General features: G+C 34.7%; 1 protein-coding gene and 1 pseudogene across 11 annotated transcripts in view; both read left to right on the top strand.

The window, feature by feature from the left end:
• Nucleotides 1-27,122, top strand: part of NBAS (NBAS subunit of NRZ tethering complex) — a 782,426-nt gene that overhangs the window by 162,092 nt on the left and 593,212 nt on the right. For all 11 annotated transcript variants that reach the window (XR_007076390.1, NR_052013.3, XM_017004317.2 and 8 more), the window contains 5 exons: nucleotides 2,768-2,830; nucleotides 4,894-5,016; nucleotides 15,926-16,028; nucleotides 19,412-19,641; nucleotides 24,523-24,635. Coding sequence is in view for 9 of the 11 variants with exons in the window: in XM_017004317.2 (XP_016859806.1) it covers nucleotides 2,768-2,830; nucleotides 4,894-5,016; nucleotides 15,926-16,028; nucleotides 19,412-19,641; nucleotides 24,523-24,635 (632 nt within the window). In the remaining 2 variants the exon portion in view is untranslated. The remainder of the gene's footprint in view (nucleotides 1-2,767; nucleotides 2,831-4,893; nucleotides 5,017-15,925; nucleotides 16,029-19,411; nucleotides 19,642-24,522; nucleotides 24,636-27,122) is intronic.
• Nucleotides 1,435-1,877, top strand: RPS26P18 (ribosomal protein S26 pseudogene 18; annotated as a pseudogene).

The following is a 27,122-nucleotide window of genomic DNA, read 5'->3' as shown; positions in this document are numbered from 1 at the left end:
TTTCTTGTTCCTAAGTCGACCAGGCAAAATCACTGACTTCCAACTCGTGTGCATAACTCTTAAAAGTAAATATATTAGGCTTTGTTTTCCACTAAGGTCAAATAGCATAAATATCAATCAGAGCTTATCTATTAATTATTAAATAGTAATTTGTCTACTTCGAGGAGATTGTCATAGTATCAATAGGCTGATGATATTAAAAACTTTTTTTATGTAGATGTTACAGTTAGGGGATTACCATATTTGTTTTTGAAGAATGTATAGGCTAAGAAATGCCTCTCATGTATACATAGCCAAAAGCTTTTCTTGGCTTCAGATTAATGATTTCTGATGTAACATTTTTTAATGTAAACACAAAAAATGACTTGATATTTTCTTGTTACTCCATTTATTTCTTAATGATTGCATTTCATGTTTCTAATTTTCTAAGTAAATTATAATTACAAATTAGCCTTGTATTAAAATATAGGGCTCAAAATATTTTCTGTGGTTCTCTTTGTTCTTCATGCCAAGTTTGTCAATTTATATTCTCTCAGTGATTATTTGTTTATTTTTAGTGGTAGTTGTTATTTATCAAGTGGTAAACTATGAATACATCCATTTGCTATTTGAGAAATGAGCAATCACTCATTTAATCTAATTAAATTTTTGTGCATCTTACCTAGGCAGATTATTTAATCTGGCTAAAAAAACTTTACTCATTGTGTTCGTGAATGTCAGCTCACAAAGGAAGAATATTGTATCTCTAATATCTATGATAAATGATTATAATAGAGCTGTAAAATGATAATTTCAAAAATATTGCTGAATAAGGCCAGGTGCAGTTACTCATGCCTGTAATCCCAGCACTTTGGAAGGCCAAGGCGGGAGAATCAGTTGAGACCAGTCTGGGGAACATAGGAAGACCCCATCTCTACAAAAAAATTTAAAAATTAGCTGGGTTTGGTAGCGTACAGCTTTAGTTCTAGCTACTTGGAAGGCTGAGCCAGGAGGATCGCTTGAGCCCAGGACACAGAGGTTGCAGTGAGCCATGATCCTGCCACTGCATTCCAGCCTAGGTGACAGAGCAAAACCCTGTCTCAAACAAAACCAAACCAAACAAAACAAAACAAACAAACAAAAAAACATACACAAACACACACACACACACACGGCTGACTGAGTATGTTAAGGGAAGTTAGCTCTGATGAATAATTTTCTGAAGGACTTTAAGTAGACTATATCCCACTCATCACTCCTGTCCAAAGCCTGAAACTTAGTTTAAACAGATAGTGTAATCTTTGTAAGTTGCACTGATTAATTGTTAAATACATTTAGACCAGGCAGATAGATAGTTTTAAAAATAATGAGGGTTTTTTGTCCAAAGCAGGACATTTTTAATTTTCCAAGTCCAGGCAAAGATTTTTTGTTTGGGCTTATTGTTAATAAAGTCATTCTTTTCTCTGGTGCGGGCCTCCAAGATGACAAAGAAAAGAAGGAACAACGGTCATGCCAAAAAGGGCCACAGCCACATGCAGCCTGTTCACTGCATGAACTGTGCCCAATGTGTGCCCGAGTACAAGGGCATTAAGAAATTCGTCATTTGAAACATAGTGGAGGCCACAGCAGTCAGGAACATTTCTGAAGCGAGCGTCTTTGAAACCTATGTGCTTCCCAAGCTGTATGTGAAGCTACGTTACTGTGTGGGTTGTGCAATTCACAGCAAAATAGTCAGGAATTGATATCATGAAGCCTGCAAGGACCGAACACCCCCACGCCAATTTTGACCTGCGGGTGCTGCCCCACAACCCCCACCAAAGCCCATGTAAGGAGCTAAGTCCTTAAATAATGCAGACAGATTATTCTCTGGAGAAAAATACAATGGAAATTGTACTGAAAAAAAAATAAAAAATAAATAAAACCATAAGATCTTGCTGGAGTTTAGGTGGAGCATTGCACAGAAGGCACCTGAGAGTGGCAGCAGCAGTGTTTCTCAGTTGAGAGTGTTTGGGACACAGAGTTGTCTAGGATGAAAGAGGACTTTTATAGCAGTTATAATCTTTTTCACCATATCCCTGTATTCACTTGCACATATGTTGTGCCATACTTAATCTTCCCTACCAGGCACATTTTTATTAGTTTGTGATCTTTTTCATGACGGTGTTTCTCCTAGTCCCTGCTTACTGGCTTCCTCAGAAAGCATTTGCTTTTCACCTTCACTCCCTACTAGGGATTATCTATGTGATGGATATACTTCTCACTGATTCCTTAACGTTGAAGTGGATGGGATTTCCTTCCCTTAAAGCACAAGGGATGATTATGTGGAAGAACTTTTCTGAGTATATGGAATCCTAATGGAAACTTCCTGGAGAGGAGGGGTCCTAAGTTGTGTAGATAGGCCTAGGAGAAAGCCAACATGGCTATGCTTCTTCTTAATCTGTTTTATTGGTTTAAAAGAACAGTAGTAAAGAGTGATTTTACCTTTTACCTCATCTTAAATAAACAATCGATTTATATATTTTTTTACCTTTAAGCACAACTGAACCAAAAGTACCCTAGAAAATAGTTGTTCATATCTGACTAATCTGTAACAGAGAATATTGTTCTACTCTAGCATTTCTTATATAATTCTCTTGAATCATTAATAATGCTGAATGAATTTAGATAATATTGTTATACATTACATATAAAAGAAACATCTTTTTTTCACTTCATTAAGTTTTGTATTTTATTTAAAAAGCTAATACTAAACTTAAGGGCTTTTTTTTTTCTTCTTTTAATTTATTAGTGATAAGACAGAGGCAACCACAAAGCTTCATGACATGGTAGACCAACTGGAACAAATTCTCAGGTGAGAAAAATGACAGTTTTTTTTTTTCTCCATGCTTATTAAGGGAATTTGTCCAAGAAATGTCACATTAAGTCTGCCTGTGAGTCATCGTTTCTACTTTAACCTCATTTTTGTTTGATTGTCTTGGGAGTGAATTTTCTCAACAACAAATACACTGCACCCCTATTGTAGTGGAGTAATAGAATAATAACATGGTCTTTGAAAACCTACGTTCAAATTTAGGCCTTGCCACTTACTAGTCGTGTGATCTTTGGGCCTAGGGTTTTCTTATGTATAATATCTAACTCACAAAATTGTGGAATCAATATTAGATTAAGCATTTAAAGTGCCTCCTACATAGTAGGCACATAAGAAATGTTAGTTCCTGCAGCAATTATTGCATCTTTATCAGCAGACAATGTTTATTACGCTAACTTCCCTTTTTAGGGCATAATACATTGAATTGACTATTTGTATTATGTCAAACTGCATTAGAACCCTCATGCAACACTGGAGGAATATTCTCTACTGTTGTAATAAAATGTTAAACTATCTCTTCTGGAGATTGAAATCATCTTAATTTCCCATGTAGAAAGTCTGATATTTTTACTAATATTTATTTTTATGTTTATATAAATATGCACATTTAACTTTAAGTATTGTATTAAAAGTAAAATTTTAAGAATAATAAACTGTGGTCTTCCAATATATAATTGTAGAAATTTATAGCTAATAACATTACTTTACTAATAGTAGTATGTATGATAATTTGGAGTCCACTGATTAGAAATCGTATTCAAATTAATGGACTTTAGTGTAAAAATATTTCAAGTTGCCTTTAAGGGAACAGAATGTTTTTGTGCACCGTAATATGTGAGTTTAATAGAGAATTAACTCTTCAGTTTCCTGAAGACCTGTGTTTATTATTACCTAGCTTGATTCCTGTTATTCTGTGTTCTGAAAGTTATACAGTTGTATTTCTTGAAAAATGTTTACAAAATCAGCTTTTCCTATTATAGGTTGGCTTGTGCCTGCCATCCCCACTACCTTCCTAACACATTCAGTTTAGTTTGACTAAGGTTTGTTGGGTTGAGTCAATGTAAATTCATTCTCTACAAATCTGCATAGTTACCTTTATTTCTCTAGTAAAATTGAGAAGAGATAGCTCAAAGAGATACAGTGAAATAAACGTAATTTATTTCATCACATGTCTGGTTGTAACCATGGGTGGTCCTGGTAGTTTTAATATGCCATCAGTACCTCAAGGAAACACTTAACACCCTACAGGTTTCTGGATGATGTTTAGGTTTCACTATTTAGCTTAATTTACTGTGCTTTCAAACTAAGAGCTTTGTATCCTGTTCCACCTGATAGCCCCAGACACTTGATAAATGTTTTAGTATACATAATGCCAGGCGACTTTACTGATGAAACCTATATTCTGAAGAGTTACTGGATTCGATCCAGTAACTCTATTCAGTCCTGTAGTAGTCAGTTCATAAATGTGAGATTTTGTGAGTCAGATCAAGTATTTATATGATGTTGATGATTATGGAATGGGATATCTCAAGAAGATTCTTATGAGACAGAGAGAATTTTTGACATATCTTGTATATTTATAAAATGGATTCTTGACAGAGAATGAGCCTGATGATTTCCAGTCGTCTAACTCTAACATTCTTGGTTTATTGCTTTTCTAGTAGTCTTGCCTATAACAGCCTATAACAGAATACTCAATAGGATTAATAAGAGTTAAAACTGTACTGAAAGTATAGATTTGGCTTATTTTACTGACAGGTGCTGTAGCAAAAAGATTTTTGAGATAAAGATAGGTTATGCTTTCTTTTAGTATGCTACTTAGCCCAACTACATTCTAATAAAAGTCAATGAGAAAGGTAAGATTTGTTTAATTATTCGATTTTTTTTCTTTTTTGCTGAGAATCAACGTTATATGTAAAATTGGATTACACTATGGGATAATTTTTTTTTAATACTAAACACTGAAGGGCTACCTCTATGCCTAAGATTCTTAGACTCTTTTTGTTTGGTAGCAAGACATTAAATAATTCTTTTTTCACTTATAGTGTGTCAGAGCTTTTGGAAAAACATGGACTCGAGAAACCAATTTCATTTGTTAAAAACACTCAATCTAGCTCAGAAGAGGCACGCAAGCTGATGGTTAGATTGACGAGGCACACTGGCCGGAAGTGAGTAATAAAATTAATTGATACTTGGGTCAATTAATTTTAAATATTTTTAAAAGTATTTCTCTTTTTCTGACAACCTCATTGTGTTATAACTAATAATAAACTGCACATATTTAAAGTGTAAGTATAATTTGATAAGTTTTGATATGTGTGTATAGCCATGGGAAACCATCATTATGATTAAGATAATAAACACATCCAGTACCCCTGAAAGTTTTTTGATTACTCCTTTAGAATCCTTTCTCTCTTGCTTTTCTTTATCGTGCTCCCTTCTCCTCATCAGGGCTACCACTAATCTATTTTCTTTACTTCTGTATATTACTTTGCATTTCCTAGAATTTTATAGAAATCAGTCACACAGTGTAACTTTTTTGTTTGTGTGTTTGTTTGGCTTTCACTCAGTATAATTATTTTGTGATTCATCCATGTTGTGTCATGAATCAGTAGTTTATTTCTTTTTGTTTGCGGAATGGTATTTCATTGTATGGATTTTTCACAGCCTGTTTACCACTTCTCTGTCCGTGGACATTTGGGTTATTTTGAGTTTTGGCTTTTACAAATAAAGTTGCTACGACTTTTCATATGCAAGTGTTTGTGTAGACATACGCTTTCATTTCTCTCAGACAAATACCTAAGGATGAAATGGCAGGATCATTTGGTAAGTGAATAGTTAACTTTCAAAAACTGCCAAACTGTTTTTTAAAGGATTTGTACTGTTTTACTTTCCTACCACTCTTGTAGGAGAGTTACAGTTGCTGCATCCTACATTGATTGCTCTTCTATATCCTCATCAACATTTGGTGTGGTCAGTGCTTATTTGCTATCTGTATGTTTTCTTTACCTGTCTTTAAAACTGAGTAATTTTTCTTTTTATTGAGTTTTGGGAGTTTTCTTATATATTCTAGATATAAGTCCTTTTATTAGATATATGCTTTGCGAAGATTTTCTCCCATTTGTGCCCTGTCTTTTCATTATTTTACCTTTGTGTTTTGAAGAGTATGCTTTTTAAAAATTTGCCTTTTAATCAATTTGTACTTTTTTATTGCTTTGCCACAATGTTTTTCTCCCCCCTTTGTTAACAAAGTTTTGGTTTTACATTTTACATTTAGACCCATGAACCATTCTAAGAATCCATTTTTGTTTATTGTTCAAAGTATGGGTCAAAAAACTTTTTGTATCTAATTATTCCTCACCATTTGTTAAAAAAGCCATCCTTTCTCTACTGAATTACCTTTGCAGTTTTCTTGAAATCTGTTGTCTGTGTAAATGGGGGCCTAGTTTTTGATTATTTTGTTCCATTGATCCATTTATTTATCTTTCTTCCCATACCATGCTGTGTTAATTATGCAGATTTCTATTAAATATTGAAATTAGGTAACATTAGTCTCCCAGCTTTGTTTTTTTTCCCCCAAAGTTGTTTTGTTTATTATAGGGCCTTTGCAGTTCCATATGCATTTTAGAATAAGCTTACCAATTTCTTCATTTGGAATTTTGATAAGGATTGCATCAAATCTGTAGGTCAATTTGGAGAGTGTTGCTATCCTAAATCAATATTAAGTCTTCCAATCCATGAACACTGATGTCTTTCCGTTTACTTAGTTCTTCTTTAATTTCTTTAAATAATCTTGTAGTTTTCAGTGTACTATTCTTGCATTTATTTTGTTAAATTATTCTTAAGTATTTTATTCTTGTTTGGTCCTATTGTAAAGGGAATTTCTTTCTTAATTTCATCTTCAGATTGTTCCTTCCTAATGCGTAGAAATACAGTTGATTCTTCAGTTTATTGGTCTTATGTCCTCTACCTTTTCTGGGCTTACTTATTAGCTCTAATAGTTTTTCTTTGCAGACTTCATGGGATTTCCTATATAAAAGATTACACTATCACAGGAAGGTAGATCTTCCTGTGATAGTGTTTCTTTACCTCTACAATGTGAGTTTCTAGCAAGATACTTTCTCCTCTCCAAGCTTTTTTTTTTGTTGTCATATAATTTACTTTTATGTATGTTAAAAACCCCACTTTGCATTGTATTATTATTTGCAAGCAGTAAACTATTTTTTAAAGTGATGTAAATAATGTGAAAAATGTGTTGCATGTTTATGCATGTAGTTACCATTTCTGGCACTTTTTATTGTTTATGTAGACTTATGTTTCCATCTGGTTGCATTTTCTTTTTGTCTGGAAGGCTTCTTTTAATTTTTTTTTTGGTAGTGCTAGGATGCCAGTGATTCATTTGTACATCTTTGTTTGTTTAAAAAAGTCTTTATTTCACATTTTTCTCTGAAGGATATATTCACTTGGTATATAAGGATATATTCACTTCCAATGTGACAGTTTTTTTTTTTTTTTAGTATGCTACGGTACAGAAATTGCTCCACTGTCTCCTAGCATGCATTTTTTTCCACAGAGAAATCTGCTGTCAGAGTTAATCTATTTCTGATGTGTTTCTCATATTTTTTAAATTGCTATTGTGAATGTCTCTTTTTGACATCAGTTTCAAATTTAATTTCATGGTGTAGTTTTCTTTATAAAGCATCTTGGATCTTGGATCTTGGGTCTTTGGGTTTATAGTTTCCATCCAACTTGGAAAATTTTTGCGTATTTCTTCTCCTTTATCTTCTGCTCCTCTCCTTTCAGGACTCCAATTATACATCTATTAGGACCTTTCAGGTTGCCTCATGGCTCATCAATACTGTGTTACTTGTTTATTTGTTTTTAATATTCTTCGGTATTTTTGTTTCATTTTGGATAATTTCTATCGCTGTTTTTTAAAGTCCACTAAATCTTTTTTTCTCTCATGTCTCATCAATTTGTACATTCATTATATTTTTCATTAAGAGTTTTTTTTTTAATCTCTAAGAGTTCAATTTTGGTTTTTATTAAACTTTCATGCCTCATTAACTTTTTGAACGTATGTTAAACAGTGATAATACATTTTAAACCACTCTTGTCTGTTTTTCTAACACCATCGTTTGCTTTTTCTAACATTTCTTCTTTTTAAAAGCATATTTCTAACATCTGTGATACCCATCTAATATCTGGATAGGTTTTGAATAATTTTTTCTTCATTATCTGTCATATTTTTCATGTCTTTCAATGCAAAATAATTTTTTTTTTTTGAGATGGAATCTTGCTCTGTCGCCCAGGCTAGAGTGCAGTGGTGCGATCTCGGCTCACTGCAACCCCCACCTCCAGGGTTCAAGTGATTCTCCTGTCTCAGCCTCCCGAGTAGCTAGGATTACAGGCACGCTGCATGCCCAGCTAATTTTTGTATTCTTAGTAGAGACGGGGTTTCACCATGTTGGTCAGACTGGTCTCAAACTCCTGACCTGGTGATCCACCTGCCTCGGCCTTCCAAAGTGCTGGGATTACAGGCATGAGCCACCACGCCTGGCCGCAAAATAATTTTATTGAATACTAGACATTATGAATTTTTCCTTCTTGTATGCTATCATATTTTTGTATTTTTATAAATTTTCTTTTTTAAAAAATTAAGTCTTATTTTATATATTTAAAGTATACAACACCAAGTGATGGGATACATATAAATAGTAAAAAGGTTACTATGGTGAAACAAATTAACATTCATCATCTCACATAGTTATCTATTTTATTTTGTTTGTGTGGCAGGAGCAGCTAAAATCTACTCTTTTAGCGTGATCCCATATACAGGACAATTTTATTACGTATAGTTCTCATGGTGTACAGTAGACCTCTAGGCTTGTTCATGTACATATCTGCTACTTTGTATCCTCTAATCTGCATCTCCTTATTTGTCCCCTCCAACCCTTTATAGTAACCACTGTTTTGGTGTCTATTTCTTTATACTTGATTTTTAAAAATTTTACATGTAAGTGAAAACATGCAATATTTTTCTATGTCTGATTTATTTCACTTAGCATAAATATTCTTGTACTTTTTTCTGGGACATGGTTAATTTACTTGCAAACAGTTTAATCTTTTTGCTTTTTGCAGTTGGGATGGAGGAAGAGCTCCTTCTAGGGCTAATTATTCCCCATAACTGAGCTAAGACTCTGCTTAATGCCTGTGTGTCTTGAGGTTTTCCAGCATGTGTGAGCTTGACATGTTTTCTTTTTCCCCTTTTCTTTTCCTAGCCTCAGGCAGTTTTATTGTAGGCGTTTATGGCTTCTACTTGTCTGAATATTCGTGGGGACCCTTCGTAGATCTTGGGAATTTCTTCCAGTTCTGCTATGTCTTCCCTGGTGCTTCATCCTGCATGTGCTTTATCTGCTTTGGTTTCTCTGGAATTTCAGTTCTGTCTTCTCAATGCAGGGACTCCAGAAGTCTCTGCTTAGATTGATCCTTTCTTGTGCTGTGGCCTGGAATCTTTCTCAAGACAGTAAACTGGGGTAGTCTTAAGAGTCATCTCAGCAGTGAGCCATGATCGTGCCACTGCACTCCAGTCTGGGTGACAGAGTGAGACCTTGTCTCAAACAACAACAACAAAAAAGACTTGTTTTTATCTCTCAGGGATCACTGTCTTTCATTGCCTGATGTCCAGTATTTTTGCATATTTTTACTTGTTTTAGCCTGGAGATTTAATTCATTTCCTTTTGCTTAATCTTTTCTGAATGTGAACATCCCTTTGGAAGTTCCCCCTTGATCCATGTCTTTTCATGTCTTCTAAATTCCTGTAAGGAAGTCATATTAGGAAATTATCTTGACTCGGGAATCAGATGACTTGGGTTCTGGTTCTAACTCCACAGTATACCATCAACTCTTTTTTATAAAAAAGATGTTTACTGCTTCATACATTTTTATAAAATGATCATACCATACCCATGTAGCCAGCAATTAAATGAAGAAATAGTGCATTATTCTTCTGTCAATATGGGCTTCCCTGAGGCTAAGATTAGAGTGTAAGTTGTTTGTTTGGAAGGTAATTCTAGCCTCACATCAGTAGGAGAATGGGAAACTGATAAAGGAAAGAAAAGGGAGCCAATACTGGTTGTATTACATAAGCTGGTTTTCCACTGTGGACTAGGGCTCAGTATTGCTGGGGTCATCTGGGAGTTGGAGAACTACTCATCTACCCTCTCGTGGCTATCATTGTTTGAGAGCCTGTCTGACGAGTGTTAACTCCCTTACACTTCCAGCATAACTAAGGATGCCATTTGGCAGTGGAAGTCCTCAGACAGAAGTCTGGTTGCTAAAGTAGGATGCTATCCATGTGTATAAAAAGCTCACAGCAGTGAGAACTGAGTGTATATATATATGGATTGTTTGTGCTATAAGTTACCCCCCTTCAAAACACTAAAACACTATAGATTAACTTTGCCTCTTTTTTTTACTTTATATAAATGGAATTATATAGTATATACATTTGTATGTAGCTTCTTTCTCTCGACGTTATGTTTGTGAGATTCCTCTGTATTGTTGGTATAACATTAGTTTGTTCATTCTCAATGTTGGGAAGTATTCCATTTTGTGAACGTAACTCATTATTTATACATTCTCTGTTGATGGACATTTGAATTGTTTCTTAGTTTCTCCTGTAATTAATACTACTGCTATGAATACATTTGTACTTATCTGTCTTCTGGTGTACATATTTCTGTCCTTCACTTGAATATCTACCTAGGAGTGGAACTGCTGAGTCATAGGATGTACCTGAGTTCAACTTTAGAAGATTCTGCCAAACAGTTTTTCAAAATGGTTGTACTGTGTATATTTCTGTCAGCAATGTGTAAGAGTTATGTCACTCCTCTATGTCACAAATACCTGATACTGATTTTCTTTTCTCCCATTTTAACCATTTAGATGGGTATATAGTAGCATTTCATTGTCTTTTTAAAATATGCATTTCTTTTTTTTTTTAATATGCATTTCTTACATGACTAGTGAAGTGGAAAACATTATAAGGGTATCAACACATTAAATACCTAAGAATAAATCTAACATGAGATGTGCAGGACTAATGAAGTGGAAAACTTTATAATAGTATCAAAACATTAAATACCTAAGAATAAATCTAACATGAGATATGCAAAAGTATATATATGAAAATTATGAAACATTGTTGAGATCCATTAAAGATCTGAAGAAATGGAGGAATACCTCATGTTTATAGATTGGAAGAATCAATAGTGGAAAGGTGTCAATTCTTCTCACTCATCTGTTTTTTTCCTGCATTCCCCATAAAAATTCCAGCAAATGTATATATTCATTTGAGAGTTGCACAAGTATAGAATCTTTGATAAAAACATTATGACAGGTACATAGTTGATGCTCAGAAAATATTTACTGTGTTGCTTAATAAAGATTTGGTGAATGGGCCAGGCACAGTGGCTCATGCCTGTAATCCCAGCACTTTGGGAGGCGGAGGCGGGCAGACCGCTTTGAGTTTAGCAGTTCAAGACCAGCCCAGGCAACATGGCAAAACCCTGTTTTTACAAAAAACAAACAAATATTAGCTGGGTGTGGTTGCTTAGGCTTGTAGTCCCAGCTACTAGGGAGGCTGAGGCTGGAGAATCGCTTGAGCCCAGGAAGTGGAGGTTGCATTGAGCCGAGATCTTGCCACTGCACTCCAGCCTGGGCAACAGAGTAAGACACTGTCTTAAAAAAAAAAATAATTTCCAGATGAATGACTTATTCATTTTTTAATATGTGTTGCTTAAAACACTGATAATTTTTAGCTACTCATTTCAAAGGAATAAGTGAGAATAAGTGAGTGAAAAGATAATGACAGATTTTAAAAATCTGGAAAAACTTTGTTTCATTTTGTCTCTTTCTATATTGTCATCATTTAAAGTAGAACATCTAATGAAATTAGAAATTTTGCTAAGTTCTTTGGAAGTTCATTTAGAGCCAGTTACAATAGAGACAGGAAAACTGAACAATTAATATTCATACATTCATTACGCCTGTAATCCCAGCACTTTGGGAGGCCGAGGCGGGCGGATCACAAGGTCAGGAGATGGAGACCATTCTGGCTAACATGGTGAAACCTTGTCTCTACTAAAAATACAAAAAATTAGCCAGGCATGGTAGCAGGTGCCTATAGTCCCAGCTACTTGGGAGGCTGAGGCAGGAGAATGGCGTGAACCCGGGAGGCAGAGCTTGCAATGAGCTGAGATTGCACCACTGCTCTCCAGCCTGGGCGACTCCTTCAGAAAAAAAAAAAATTAATACTTTATAATTGTGCATTTATTTACGAATTGTTATTTACATTATTTAATGAATATTTTATTATGGATTTTGACATACTTTGTGTCAGTATTATGCTTGATGTCTGGCTTACAAAGAAAAAGATGTCGTACCTCCCTGGTCCAGAGGGGGACACACTCAATTAATATGAAGAGAATATTTATAAAGGCTATGAAGGCCATGAGAGAACTAACAGATTACTCTGTAGAAAAATTGGCAACATAGTACATCCAATATATATTTAAAAAAAGAAAAGAAAAATTGGCAACAGAGTTGAAAGACATTTCAGTTAGATGATATCCAAATGGTCAATAAAGAAACTAACAACTTTTTGACCTAGTAGTCATTTAGTTTATGCATAAAATAAAGGGTAACTATGACTTGGAGGTGCTTGCCGGACAGTAGGTGGAGATGCTGCTATGAAGGTGGACATGAAGATCAGCAGAGAAGTCCGAACTGGAGTTATGGATTTGAGAGTGATCCCCATGTGTGTATGGGACAGTTAAATTCCAGATCTGTAGGGAGACTACGTAAAAATGTAAAGAAGGCTGGGAAAAAAAGCCACCCCAAGCACTAATCCTGAAGGAGTAGAATTAAGCAAGGGCAACTTTTCAAGAACTTTTAAAACATATTTTGTTTACCTAAATTTTAGGATTTAGAGATTCAGTTTAACCCAACTATCAAAGTAAAAATAAAATCCAGCAGTAAAAACACACTATTGTATATTCCTTCCTATCTTTTAAGAGCTGGCTCCAACACATCTTCCAGGAAACCTTGTTTGACTCCTCCAAGCTTAATTGAATTCTCCTTCCTAGAAATTCCTAAGCGTTTTGTATCTACCTCTCTGACTGTCTCTTGCAGCTATACGGTGTTACACTGCAACTATACTACAGTCATTAACACATGTGCCTTAAGTTCCCTTCTAGATCATAATTTCTCCAGTGCAAGTGTTATAGCCACCATACACCTCAGTTAGGAACTTACATATCAGTGGCCCTCTCTGGTAATTTAGATAGCTTTGACTATTTAAATGCCTTAAGATTTCTTTATAGCTAAAATGGATGGCCAGTATTTCCAAGATCATGCTGATTTTACTCTAAAATCTACTTTTCAGCAGGAAAGCATTGCAATTGCTGCTAGATTACCTACCACCCCATCTCCCCCAACCCCCCAAATTAGTTCCCTAAATACTTACGGAGTCCCTGAAGTTAATTTCTACTCATGGTAATCTATTTACTGTGAATATGTAAGAGAATGTGATGCCTGTTTTCACAGTAGTTGACCTGAAATTAATCTTAATTATTTTATGCGTATTTCCATGGCTTGACCTTCACTACCCATAGAATATTCTTATACATATTCTAAAGGGTGGCAGATGTCAGCAAATCTTCACAAATGCAAGTTTTACGAACTTGAGTACACTACTATTTCTCCCTGGGAAATCCACATCTATTCCAAAGCTGCAACTAATACATTCGTGTTCAGGATCTGTCTGTTAATTTGCAAACCTCTTGGTTTCTTCAAGTTCTGCTCTTGATTCTTATTTACTGAATATATTCTTAAAAAGGCCATTGTAAGTAATGCATAGTAGTTTATTTTTATTAGAACCTGTACTTACAGCTAGCCATGTGCGAGAAAACATTAGTACCATCTGCCCCAGTGTTGATGGCTTCCAGAAGAACAGCTGGGCTGTAAGAAATTGAATTCAGCTAGACAGTGCCTAGATCTGATTTTATCAAGTGTGTGCAAGATGGACACTCACTTCAGCAAACATTCTGCTACTTCTCTGCCTGTAAGCAATCTGAAAGAGCCCTCCAGTTTTTTGAAGGCTAAAGAGTTAATGTACCCAGGTCAAACAAATGGAAACAGTATATGGATTGTCCTGAAATACTTGAAATATATCAGTTTGTTTTGTGTATTTGTGTGCTGGAAGAAAAAAAGTGTTCTCTTATGCCTAATTGCATGTGGAACAAGAGTAATTGTTCTTTTGTATAATAAATATTAAATGCATAGGCAAATGAAGCATGTGCTTATTAAAAATTTTAGGAGAAAAAAATTTTAAAGACTATATTTTTTGCTGTAATGATCCCAAATATATACTTTCTCTATAGCAATAACTATTAAACACATACAATCTATCTGCCCTGTTTTTAATGCATAGTGTTTGGAAATAGTGATGATTTTTAAAGGCATTGTAAAAGATAAAAAATAAAAAGATGCATGAAAAAGAAACATCGTCTAGTTGGTATTTGACCAATTTAAAACAAAAACCTGCTCTTCTTGAATAATGATATTCATGATTATGTAGAATGTCAAGACTAGAAAGTAAACATAAATGGTGATTCCAAACTCATGTGTATTTAACTAAGATGAACTTTGGAGAGAGGCAGAGAGAATTACAGTATATTGTCTCTCCTACTAGAAACAATATTAGAATCATATACGTGACTTAAAAAATAAAAAAACAAGATGTATTTGTAATTTCAGATTCATTCATTCACATTTGTTGAATGTTTACCAGAAAAATGGGGGGGGGGTCTTTTCATATATTTTAGTATAAGTTAATCTTTATGCTATACAAAAAGGGAATCTAAAGTTCAGAGAGATTAGAAAATTTATTCAAATCCATGGGTAATTTAGCTTATTCTTATATTTAGGAGCATCTTGCTTCAATGCCTGTGTTTTGTCAAAATTAATCTCATTTATTGTTTATCACTGAAGTGAGCTTCCAGAGAGGAAAGTGAAAGTCAAGAATATTAAATGACTTGCTCACAATCACACAACCAATTTGTGACTATGGGTGAATTTGGGAACAAAACCCTTTCCCCTGCTATGGGAGAATCTGACCATTAATTTCCTAGCTCTGTAACTCTGTAAATCAATATAAAGTGGTTTTTAATCAACCAGATTATAGAGGCCTCACTACTTAGATAAAACAGATCCCTGATTGGTAAATTGCCTCTGGCCTGGAGGAACTGTAAATGAACTGGAAATACCTGATAGGGGCTTTATGCTTTGGGCTTTCCTGAGTGTGTTGCAAGAGATGTTGACTGTTTTAGGACATGAAGCTTCTTCCTACGCCGGACACAGCAATGCCAGCGACTACTCTCTGAGGCTCTGGCTTCTTGTACTGGGGCGGTCACTTGAGAAGATAACTCCTGGAGTGCTCTGTGAGTTGCTTTGTGGACTGCTGCCAGTAGTCTCACTGTAAGAAGCAACTGATGCTGCCCTGCTGGTGAGCCGCGATTCTTGTCCCCCAGACTGATGGCAAATGTGGCCTGCGGTTGTCCTATGGATGTGAATGTTCAGTTGAAGTCAAGAAGACTCCTTGACAGGGATTGCTGAGTGATGAAGATGGAATTTGAAACCAACCTCTGTCATCAAGCTATATCATAGCTGCTTTATCTTGCAGTGGTTCATTTTACCTTAGAAACTCACAGCTTCTTTACCTTTACTGTAATTACCATTCAATTCCATTCCAGCCTGTGTCTGCTCAGGCTATGACAGACCACTTTGTCACCATCTCTAGCAGTGATGCATAGCTGCCCAACTTTCCCCTCTATCTTTAATCCAAGTGTTTTCCTGTCTATTTAAAGGAGATATATTCTTTTTGATCATTTGAGAGCTGATGTGGATATAGAGTGGTGGTACCAGTTTTTGTTTTTTTAACTTTAGATCATTTGAAGAAAGAGATTTTAATTGTTTTCTTTCCCTCTTCCTTGTCTTTTTTATGTGTTTTTCCAGGCAGCCTCCTGTCAGTGAGTCTCATTGGAGAACGTTGCTGCAAGACATGTTAACTATGCAGCAGAATGTATACACATGTCTAGATTCTGATGCCTGCTATGAGGTAACTCTAGAACCATATACGATTTTTTTTTAATTTAACAATTTTAATTGTTATGGTTTATTGGATACAAGATTGATGACCATAAGCTACCCTGGAAGTAATATTATTTAATAATAGCTAATAACTGACTAGTGCTTTATAGGTTGAGCACTTTATTCCTTAACCTCCTGTCTCCCTTGTCTTTTTTCATTGCAACACTATCTGTTTAGTAGGTTAATCATCAGCTAGAAAATGTGAATCGTACTTGACTTTTCTCACTTCCATAGTTTTGGTGGTCACTAACACTTGTCTAATGCATCTGAGAAAGACCTTCAAATCTGTCCTGTCTTCATCTCTGCTGAACTGCAGCAATCCCCCTACTTGTTTCCCTACTTCCAACTCTCTGGTTTACACTGATAAAGAGTATTTTTCTAAAACAAATCTTTTCATGACACACCCCTTCTAAAAATTTGTTGTTGTTCCATATCAATAATCAAAAAGTAGCTCTACTCCTTAGCATGACATAGAAAGCTATAGAAGATGCCAGCTCCCTCACCTCTTCCACTTTTGTCACTGTCCACCATGTACCCTATGTTGCAGTAGCACCATCAAGCCTGTCATCATTTCCTCCATCCACCGTGCTGTTTCATGTTTCCCTCACTTTGCACACGTTGTTCCCTTGGCCTGGAATATATTCCTCTTTCCTTTACTTAGAAAACTCCTAATAAAAGTTCAGAACTCAGCTCACTAATTATCTTTGTCCTTCCTCATAAGTTGCCTCTACTATGGTCTTTCTTTAAAATGTAGTTATTTGTTTATTTGTGCATTGCTTCCATTTGGTCCTCAGCTCCTAGACAGGCATTATTATATCATGTGAACTCTCATATCCCCTAGTGCATATTATAACATATGGAATATAAAGGATACGTAAGAAATAGTTGTCAGTTGACTGGGAGTATAATCCAGGGGGATTTACTCATTAATTTGGAATAGATATGTACACCTGTGTGTGGGTGTGTGCGTGCACGCGTGTGTCCAATTGCCAAGTCAGAGGCAGAGTATCAGTATATATATTTCCATTTTCTGTGTGTAAAATCTCCAAGTCAAAGGCAGTTTACCAATATATATATATTTCCGTTTGTGTGGAAAAAATGACCTAACTCATTTTTAATAACATGCAGTCTAAAACAAGTTTTTTTAATTAGAATTTTCTTGTTAAATAAGCCAGACACAAAATCATAAAGAGTATTTCTTGTGTCGCTTTGCTCTTATACCACAAAGCATAACCCATTGATGAAATCAGAATTGTAAAAATAGGTCTCTGCTTTGTGAAATTGTTTAGTTTTTGAATTCAGGGCGATTTTAACAAAAGTGTGCTAATGTAGACTGTTGAGAAATGAATGGTTTTATATTTGAATTTCAAGTTTTTAAATGCATGAATAACTAATGTTTTTATTGATGATTGCAGTCTCTGACCACATACAACTGCCATTGTCTTCCCCTTTTGCATCTAAAGCAAAACCTGAAACCAACTTCATTAGAACATAATTTGTATGCACATGAGATCTAAAACCCAACTGTCACTAGTGTGTTTGAGGTAGTGTTTGTGCATTGGAGTGACATTATTTTGATACATTCCTGTTTCTGATTCTGATTGCAAAATTGGCAGTAAGTATATTACATTTGAGTTAGTTTCTGTGTGGAGTAATCCATCAAAACAACTTATTATATTACATTTTAAAAATATTTTAACACGTTTTTATTAGGCTTTGATATTTTAATGACTTCTGTCCACGGGTCTCCCTTGTTGAGAAAACATTTGAAAGCATATTATAACAGTTTTGAAAAGGCTGTAGGAGACAGTAATATAGATTTGACAAACTTAAAATTTAAATATAATTTAAAATATACTATGTTGTCTTAGTGACTTGGTTGTTAGATTTTGCTGTCCTTGGAAAATAAGTTCAGTGGCATAATTTTGAAAATGTTAGATAAAGATTTATATATAGCCTGTAGAACAGAAATCTATGTTGTTCATTTTAGCAAACTGTTCCAAGTTTGAGGGTGAATGTATTTTTCAGTATTGGACATTGACTCCTTACAGCTTACTTGAGTAGACCAGAGAAATATGGAGAAACTATGACATATAAGTCATTTGGATTAGACGTATTGTAAGCCATTTTTATCTGTCAGATATAAGTGATTAGGGTTGCTCTTTAATAGTTTGCTTTCTGTCACAGTATCTATTTTATAGCGGATCCCTCTTAGATATAGTGTTTTTATCCTTATCAGATATCTTACCAAGACTTGTCTAAAAATGCCTTCTGCAGGAAGCCTAGACACAAAGAAGTGAAAATAAGAGCATCCTATGAAGATTGGATGGTCTTCTTAATTATATTGAAACTCTTGCTTCTCCATTAAATGTTACTTTTTAAAAATCTCTTATTTCTGTGCTATCCTTATCCAACCGTAGAGTGACAGGGAAGTGCATTTTTGGGGAAGTTCTTAGACTAATTATATGTAACATTGTTAATGTACGTTTAAAAGGATTGCTTTGTTTATATAAATCTCAATTATAGAAGTAATTTTATGTTAATTGATGTTGTTAGTTGTCTAGTAGAGTACAATGATATTTGTATGAATACCTTCAGTGTCTCTTGTTTTATTTAAATAATTTTTAATATGTATGTTATTAAAAAACTCTACATTATAATATATTGTAATTTTAATGACTGGTTGTAAGTATAGCATTTGTGGAGTGGCTATTTAGTTCATAAGACTGAATTCAGATGCTTCAAGCAGTTATGAATTATATGTATTGTATTCAAAGATTTTTCTTTTAAGAAATTAAAATGGGGCTGCATGCAGTGGCTCATGCCTTTAATCCCAACACTTTGGGAAGCCAAGGTGAGAGGATTGCTTGAGCCCAAGAGTTTGAGACCAGCCTATGGACAACATAGCAAGAACCCATATTAAAAATGAAAATTAAAATTAGGAAAAAGAAAAAAACAGAAATGGTTAAAAATAGTTTTAAGCAAAATGGGCCCTGTTGAGAGTGGGACAGTATGTGTAATCCTGTTTTTAATGAATATCAACTTTGGATACTTGACCCAAGTATTTATTGTAATAAATTAAAATATTATGCTTAATTTTGGTTTAGTCAATGAAATTATTCTTTCTAAAAGATTGACTTTTTTTAATTGAGGAGAAAGTCACATAATGTAAAATTAACCATTTCAAAGTATACAGTTCATTGTCATTTAGTACATTTACAGTGCTGTGCAGCCACCACCTCTAGGGTGGATGTGTTTTTAATTTCTTTCATTTGGATTTCAGAGCCTTCATTTCACTGAGAACTGAATCTTCCCTCTCTATAACTAATTCCAGTTTCTCCTTTTTTCCAGATATTTACAGAAAGCCTTCTGTGCTCTAGTCGCCTTGAAAACATCCACCTGGCTGGACAGATGATGCACTGCAGTGCTTGTTCAGAAAATCCTCCAGCTGGTATAGCCCATAAAGGGAAACCCCACTACAGGGTCAGCTACGAAAAGAGTATTGACTTGGTTTTGGCTGCCAGCAGAGAGTACTTCAATTCTTCTACCAACCTCACTGATAGCTGCATGGATCTAGCCAGGTAGAATAACTCTATATTCTTCCCTAAGATGGAGGGGGAAAGTCAGAATGTACAAACTGCATTGTTATTCTTTTCTTTACCAAATATATTATCACAGGTACAGATTGACTACACTATATGGGGCACAGTTATTTTTTGCTTGAATATAAAAAGAAAAACTATGTTATGAATGTCCATCAGCTTCTTAAACATTTTTCTCCAGCGCGCTTTCCCATGGTCATTTTTGCTGATTATAAGGCTGTGTATTTCTCTTCTGTTGGAAGAGATTCATGTGATAGCCTATAAATTCAAGTTCTGAAAATTTTCAGCATGCGTAGGTAATGCCTGTCTCGTTCATGTAGCTTTCACTTTGTTTAGAGACAAGGGACCTAAATGCCAGGGCATAAGTCTTTTGAAAAAAAAAAAGAGAGAGAGACAAGGGACCTGATTAGATGATAAACCTCCGAAGTCACTTCCTGGCTGAAATTTCTAGACTATGAGTTCAATTCCTCTCTTGTCCCCATTGTACTCCTATTTTAGCTCACCCCTCTTATTTAACACTAGAAAGGTGTGTTCATGACCTGAGTTCTCGTAATTAGGTATACCCAATTGCAGCGATTTTTTAAGAATAATTCATTCAGGATTTAAGGTTGCTTTTTTAAAGTTAATTTTTTATAAAATTAAAAGAGCATAATAAATCTAGATCAAGGAATAAAACATGTATCACCTCTGTATTAATGAATCTTAAAAGCTTAAAAAAGATTATCTTCCTTGTTCAACATTTCAGAAAAGTGGTTTACAGACAGTCCCCAACTTAAGACGGTTCAACTTCCAATTTTTCAACTTTATGATAATGTAAAAGTGATATGCTTTCAGTAGAAACAGTACTTTGAGTACTCATGCAACCATTGTGTTTTTCACTTTCAGTTCCGTTTTCAGTAAATTACATGAGAAATTCAACACTTTCCTATAAAATAGTCTTTGTGTTAGATGATTAAAAGCCTAGCCAAACTGTAGGCTAATGGAAGTGTTCTTAGCACTTTTAAGGTAGGCTAAACTAAGCTATGATGTTTGTTAGGTTAGGTGTATTAAATGCATTTTGAATTTATGATATTTTCAACTTGCAATGGGTTTATTGGGATGTAATCACATTGTAAGTCAAGGCACATCTTCAATTGTATTATGTCCTCTGTCCCCTGCCTGCTGACTGATACGCTGCTGTTCTTCCACTAGCCATTTTCCAACTCTCGTTTGCAGTGTCTAGTTCCTCTAATACGTATTTCTCCTTCCATTTGTACCCTGGACATCTGAGTCTGTTTTGTTTCTCTTTGTCTGAGATCCCCTTTCTAGACCCTGCTCTACTTTTCTTACTCAGAGTTGTGTTGATCCTCATTCATTTCTAGAGACATACTTTTTAATTTATTTTTTCCGCCTCAAGGCAACTGACAATTTTTCTGAGGCCCTGAGTTTGTCATGTAATCTCTCAGTTTTTGTTTCTTGATCAAATAAACTGAAGAAAGGTAGAATCTCTTCAGTAATAAGGTGGCTATGGTCTCTAGCAAATTATTTACTTATTTGTTATTCTTACTGTGTCTGATTTTTCTAACACTGTGCATCCTAAGCTTATCCTGTTTTCTCAGATTTTCTGGTTAACAGTCTATAAGAGATTATACATTTTATTTGATAGGAATTATCCACTCAGTATTTAAATAAAGTAATGAGATTTTTGAGCCCAATCGTTTGCCCACTATTTTGCATGTTATACCTGTATATAGTTTTACAAAAATGAGATAATACTATACATTTCTTTTTATTACACAGTTTTTTCAGTTGTTTATTGAGCTAGTGTATACAGATCTGCAGCATTTTCATATGCTTTACAGCATTGTGTTGAGTGGTTGTGCTAGATTTGTTTAGTTCTTTTCTGACTGCATTTAGTACACCTTTTCATTGTCCAAGAAGCAGCAGAGTGTAGAGGTTAAGAACACAGCAGTTTCTAGGGCCAGATGGCTATGTGCAAATCCACTTTTTTCCAGCTAACAGGTATGTGACCTTGGGCCAGTCATCAGGGCCTCAGGTTCTTCACCTGTAAAATGTGGATAATAGTAGGCTTATATCATAGGGCTATTGTAATATTAACTGAGTATGTAAAATAGTTAGAACTGTGCCTGTTGTAGATGGATAATGCAAAGTGGAATTGCTGAATCAAAGGGTAAGCACATGCAAAATTTTGGTCTTTGTTATCATGTGGCACCAGTTTATTTTCCATTCCCTAAGGCACTAAAGGGCCCCTTCTCTAAATTAATTTTCAGTCTTTCCAGTGTTTGTCTGTTGAACAGCTTCATTTGCACTTTTTCATTTGAAACTTGTTTCTAGCCTTTACTTATTTTTCTTTTGGGGTGTTCATCTTTTTACTATTGATTCTTAGGAGCTTATTTTGAGGCATAAGGAATATTTACCCTATGCCTATCTCAAATATTTTACTACATTGCCAAGTTTTCATTATATATGATTTATCTTTCCAATTGCTATTCAGAATTTTTTTAAAATTGTGGTTCTTTTACAATTTCTGTCTTTTCTGTCATCCTTTGAAAGACCTTTAAATCCCAAGACTATTATGACAGGTTTTCATATTTTTTAGTGCTTTGATAGTTTTATTTTTTACATTTCAGTTTTATCTTTATTTGGAATTTATTTTGATATTTTGATTATGGTAGCAATTGGAGCACCTTCATTTTACAAACATGCTGTATGTGTGTAACCTGGCACCTCACTGATTGCAACCTGTGAGCCTGGGTGTATTTTAGTGTTTACAGTTATGTTGAATGTAGAGAATAACCCATACATTCTTAATGATTAAAGTATTATTTATTAATTAGCATTTTATTTAGGAAGCAATAAATATTTAAACAATACAAAAAGGATATATTGGAGAGATTCATTTTCCCCCAGATGACTAATATTTATTTCAGACCTAGCAACGCTTAAAAGTAACTCCTGCACCAAGTCCCCCCATTCCCCCCACACAGGTGATATCTTATCTCAGAAGGAATTATGTTTCACAAACCATGTTATTGAACTTGACAAAGTTGTTTAAAGCAGTTAGCTCTTTCTTTTCTCCTAAGCGATTCTATTTTTATTTCAAATGATGAAAATACCAAATAGTCTTTGAAAATACCAAATAGCCTTTGAAACTGGGAATTGTATTTCACCTCAATCTTTTTGGCAGGTGTTTCCCAGAGATCATTTAAAAAGCCGGTCCTTCTATATTTCCCCTTCATTGCATCTCTTTCTCTCTTGCAAGGACACACCTTCATCACCTTCATTTCACAAACATGCCCTGTGTGTATAATGTGGTACCAAACTGATTGTGACCTGTGAGCCTGGATGTATTTCAGTGTTCACAGTTATATTGAATGCAGGAAATAGCGCTTACATTTTTACTGATTAAAGAGTTATTTATAAACTCTTTATAAATAAATTGTTGAGGAAGCAATAGATATCCAAACAATACAAAAAGGATATATGTATTGACAATAAATCTCCCTCCTCATTCTAGTTCCCCTAACTTTATCCTTCCATCATTTTTAAATATCGGTTTCTTATGTATCCTTCCAAAACATTTGATTAAATGTTACCTCTTCTTTCTTAAATCATGAATAAATTCTTACTATTATGCATACCTTTCTATGCCCTGTTTTTTTTTCACTCATATTCTATATTGAAGGTTTTTTCATGTGAGTACAGACAGTTCTATTTTATTCCTTTTTGATGGTTGTAGAACATTCCATTATATAATTTATTTAATTTGTTCCTGATTTGGTATGCTTTCTTTCATTTTTAAAAACAATTTGGTAGTGAGCACCCACAATTATATGTCTTTGAGCATGTGCGAGCCTATCTGTAATGTAAATTTTTAGAATTTATTTGTAATTTAGAATTTATTTGTAATTCCTGGGTCTAGAGTAAAAAATGTAAAAAAGTACATTTACAATTTTGATAGAAACCACAAAGAGGTTATAGACCTTTCACACTTGAATCAACAGTAGATGTGAGTGCACAACTGATTTAAATCCTCCAGTTTTACGAGAGCAGGCTTGGCCTGTATCTGTCACTCAGTCATATGGATGCCATACTGGGGCTTAGATACCTGCATCTCGTGATCTGTGATTCTAGCATTCATGAGCCCGTTACCGCCTGATCTGTCTTTCTAATCTTACATTCCAATGTTCCTCTAAACACCTTTAGAGAATGAGTTTATTCATCAAGTGAAACATTTATTAAATGCAGTTTCTTTGAATTTAAACAAAAATTTACTTAAAATATTCCATGGGAATCCCACATTCTTAGCTTAGCAAATCACTTTCTCCTATGGTTCATCTCAGAACTGTGTATTACCAACAGATTTCTCTTTTTTGATCAGAAAGATGTTCTCTGCATTTCCCTAAGTCATTTCTTGTTTCTTTTGAGACATCACATTGTGACCAAATCAAGACATTTCTGTTTTTCGTAGAAGGGAAACTGGAAATTATCTGAACTTCATCCTTTAAAATTTTTTTTTGTAATAGAATCATAATGTTTGCATTCAACAGTAAAAACGGCACTGAACACAGAGTTATGATGCTTCCTACCATGATGCCATTATGTACTGTGGATGTAACTGTGGGCAATTACTTCACTTCTGTGAGTTTCAGTTTTAGCTCCCTGAAAAGGCAGATAGATGATGATGTTTGCCTACCTCAGAGGCTTGCTATGAGGATTAAGATAACAGAAGGCATCCAGCGGAATGAATTCCTGGGATGTGGTAGATTTTTGATAAATATGTGTTAGATCTCATGGTGTTGAGTATAGAAAGGTGAACATATGTTGCTTCTTTTTAAAAATTTATCTAATTTCTTCTAGGTGCTGCTTACAACTGATAACAGACAGACCCCCTGCCATTCAAGAGGAGCTAGATCTTATCCAAGCCGTTGGATGTCTTGAAGAATTTGGGGTAAAGATCCTGCCTTTGCAAGGTGAGTTTTCTACTTACTGTTGCATTGTTACTAACTTATATTGCAGCAATTTACTAGTATTCTTTTTTAGTTTTTAAAACTAAAGAGTAGCTTTGGTCATGTAATCCATTAGCAATAGATCCTGCCCTTGACCCATTATTTTAAATGAAATCTCAAGTGGAAACCCAAAAGAAAAAATAAAGCCAACATTTTACCATAAATTTATTTTTTAAATTTCACGTGTATAACATTTAAAGAAATAACATCGGTAACAGAGCAGTGAGGGTATAGAGTAAAAACAAAAAAAGATATTGGGGATTATGGATGAGAATATATCAGATTTATATCAGTTTTGATCTACAATTTCTGTATTTTGTTTCCATTGCATAGATTAATAACTAGCTATAAATAAAAATAGTTTTTTTCTTTTTATGCTTGACTCAGTATATTACGTCCATCTATTTTTTTAAAAGAGGGAACGATAAGAAATTTTTGTTTAGAATTTAATTACTAGAGATATCTTAATATTACTCAACTTCTTTTATTTGAATATAAAAGTCAACTTGGTATCATCCCAAACAAGCATCCTGCTACAGAATCACTTGTCTCATCTATTTATGCTGTGAGGACTGTTTACATCTCATGGTGTACTGGACCTTAAACCTGACCTTCCCTGTTGAGGAAGGTAGATTTTCTGTTGCATTAAATCCTGGACCTCTGTGCCCTAAATGAACAGAGTGGCTTGGTATTATTAGCAGTGTGCTTGGCTGGCTTCCTTGTAATCTGTTATCTCTGTTCTTAAGTCTGGAAATATTTGAGACTGATGGTGGTAGAGGTTTAGATCTCTTACAAGTTCCTTGGTGTCTTTGTCCTGTGTAGTGTTTAGAGCTGGATGGATTTTAGAGATATGAGCCAGTAGAGGCATTCTCATGTTTTCAGTGGGTTTCCAACGTGGCTTGACTAAAAGTTAAAGTTTTGCATCTCAGACAAATTCATTAGGCTGGGCACAGTGGCTCACACCTGTAGTCCCAGCATTTTGGGATGCTGATGTAGGAGGTTCACTTTAGTCCAAAAGCTTGAGACCAGCCTGGGCAACATAGTGATACCCTGTCTCTACAAAAATTAAAGAAGTTAGCCGAGTGTAATGGCATGCGTATGTAGTCCCAGCTACTCAGGAGGCTGAGGTGGGAGGACCGCTTGAGCCCAGGAAGTTGAGGCTGCAGTAAGCCATGATCACGCTGTTGCATTCCGGCCTAGGCAACAGACCTAGAACCTGTCTCAAAATAACTTATTAGACTCAAAAGAGGTAATATTATTATTACTTTGAATATCATTGTTTGGAAACAATTTGTACGTGATTATAACTATCTTGTGGTATCTTAAGCAATTTTATCTAATGTGATTGCTAAATCACTGGAAAATTTTATTCATTTGTACAATTCATGTGACTTTTGAGCTCAAAACTTCTTAAAATTGTGAAGATTGATCAGGTTTACTTTTTTCAATTCTTAAATGTCTGAAGTCATTAACTACGTCTCCCTCAAATATTTATTTAATTGCAATTTTAGTCAAGGAAGAATCCAGAGCACTATGAAACCTTTGCTCTGTTTGTATCTCTTGTTAGGCCATGCTGTTACGGATTTGACTCTGTGTGTGTGTGCCTGTGTGTCTGTGTTTTACCTCCTTATTTAATTCAAGCAGATTGGTATAATACAAAACATTTTCTTACAGTCCACCCAAGTGCTACTGGATTTTGAAATGTTACATTAAGCCCTGATTTTCTGTGCTGATCAATTAGCAGGATTTTTTGCTGGTAATATGTGTATATCAGCTGCTGGGTTTGAATACCTGCAACCAAAACCGCTGCCCTGCTGTGGCTTCTGAGAATTTTCTGACTGAGGAGTATTTTAAGAAAGACATTTGCTTTCATGTCTTGACAGCTTTCCAGCTTGATATATTGATTTGGAGTTTCCTATTAGAATGACTGTCAGAAAACCTTCTGGATGTGAAGATGGAATATTGCCTTTGTATACTTTTTGTTGTGTTTATCTTACAGATGCCATTTAGGTTTTAGCTTCTTTTGTATTCATCAGTAATATTGGAGAAAGAAAACAACTAGATATTTAGAAATTTATGGTTTAGGTATTTTTATTGTAGTCAGTGTACGTAGTTCATTTTGTCACTTTGCTTTGTTTTGAAGCCTTCTTTGCCTACACTCCAGGAGTTGCTGTTTCTCATCAAGTAAAGGCTAGCAGTTCTAACTAAATTATAATCAATGAGCCAATTGAAAACAGGAACAGAAGTCGCATGTAAAAATGACTCCCTATGTGTGAGTCTTCTGTGAAATATTTTTGTGTGTGTATATGTATATGCTTTTCTCTTTATTTTGGGTGTTTATGTAAATTTTTCTTAATATTTAAATGAACAGCCTTTGAATATTTCATTTGGTCCACATGTTATTTCTATAATAGGGTAAGTCAGCTTTTCTGACTTACAGCATTATAGTTA

Source organism: Homo sapiens, chromosome 2, assembly GCF_000001405.40.
Source record: "Homo sapiens chromosome 2, GRCh38.p14 Primary Assembly".
NCBI lineage: Eukaryota > Metazoa > Chordata > Mammalia > Primates > Hominidae > Homo > Homo sapiens.
Note: the sequence above shows the minus strand (reverse complement) of the source record. Positions and strands in the feature narration are given on the sequence as shown.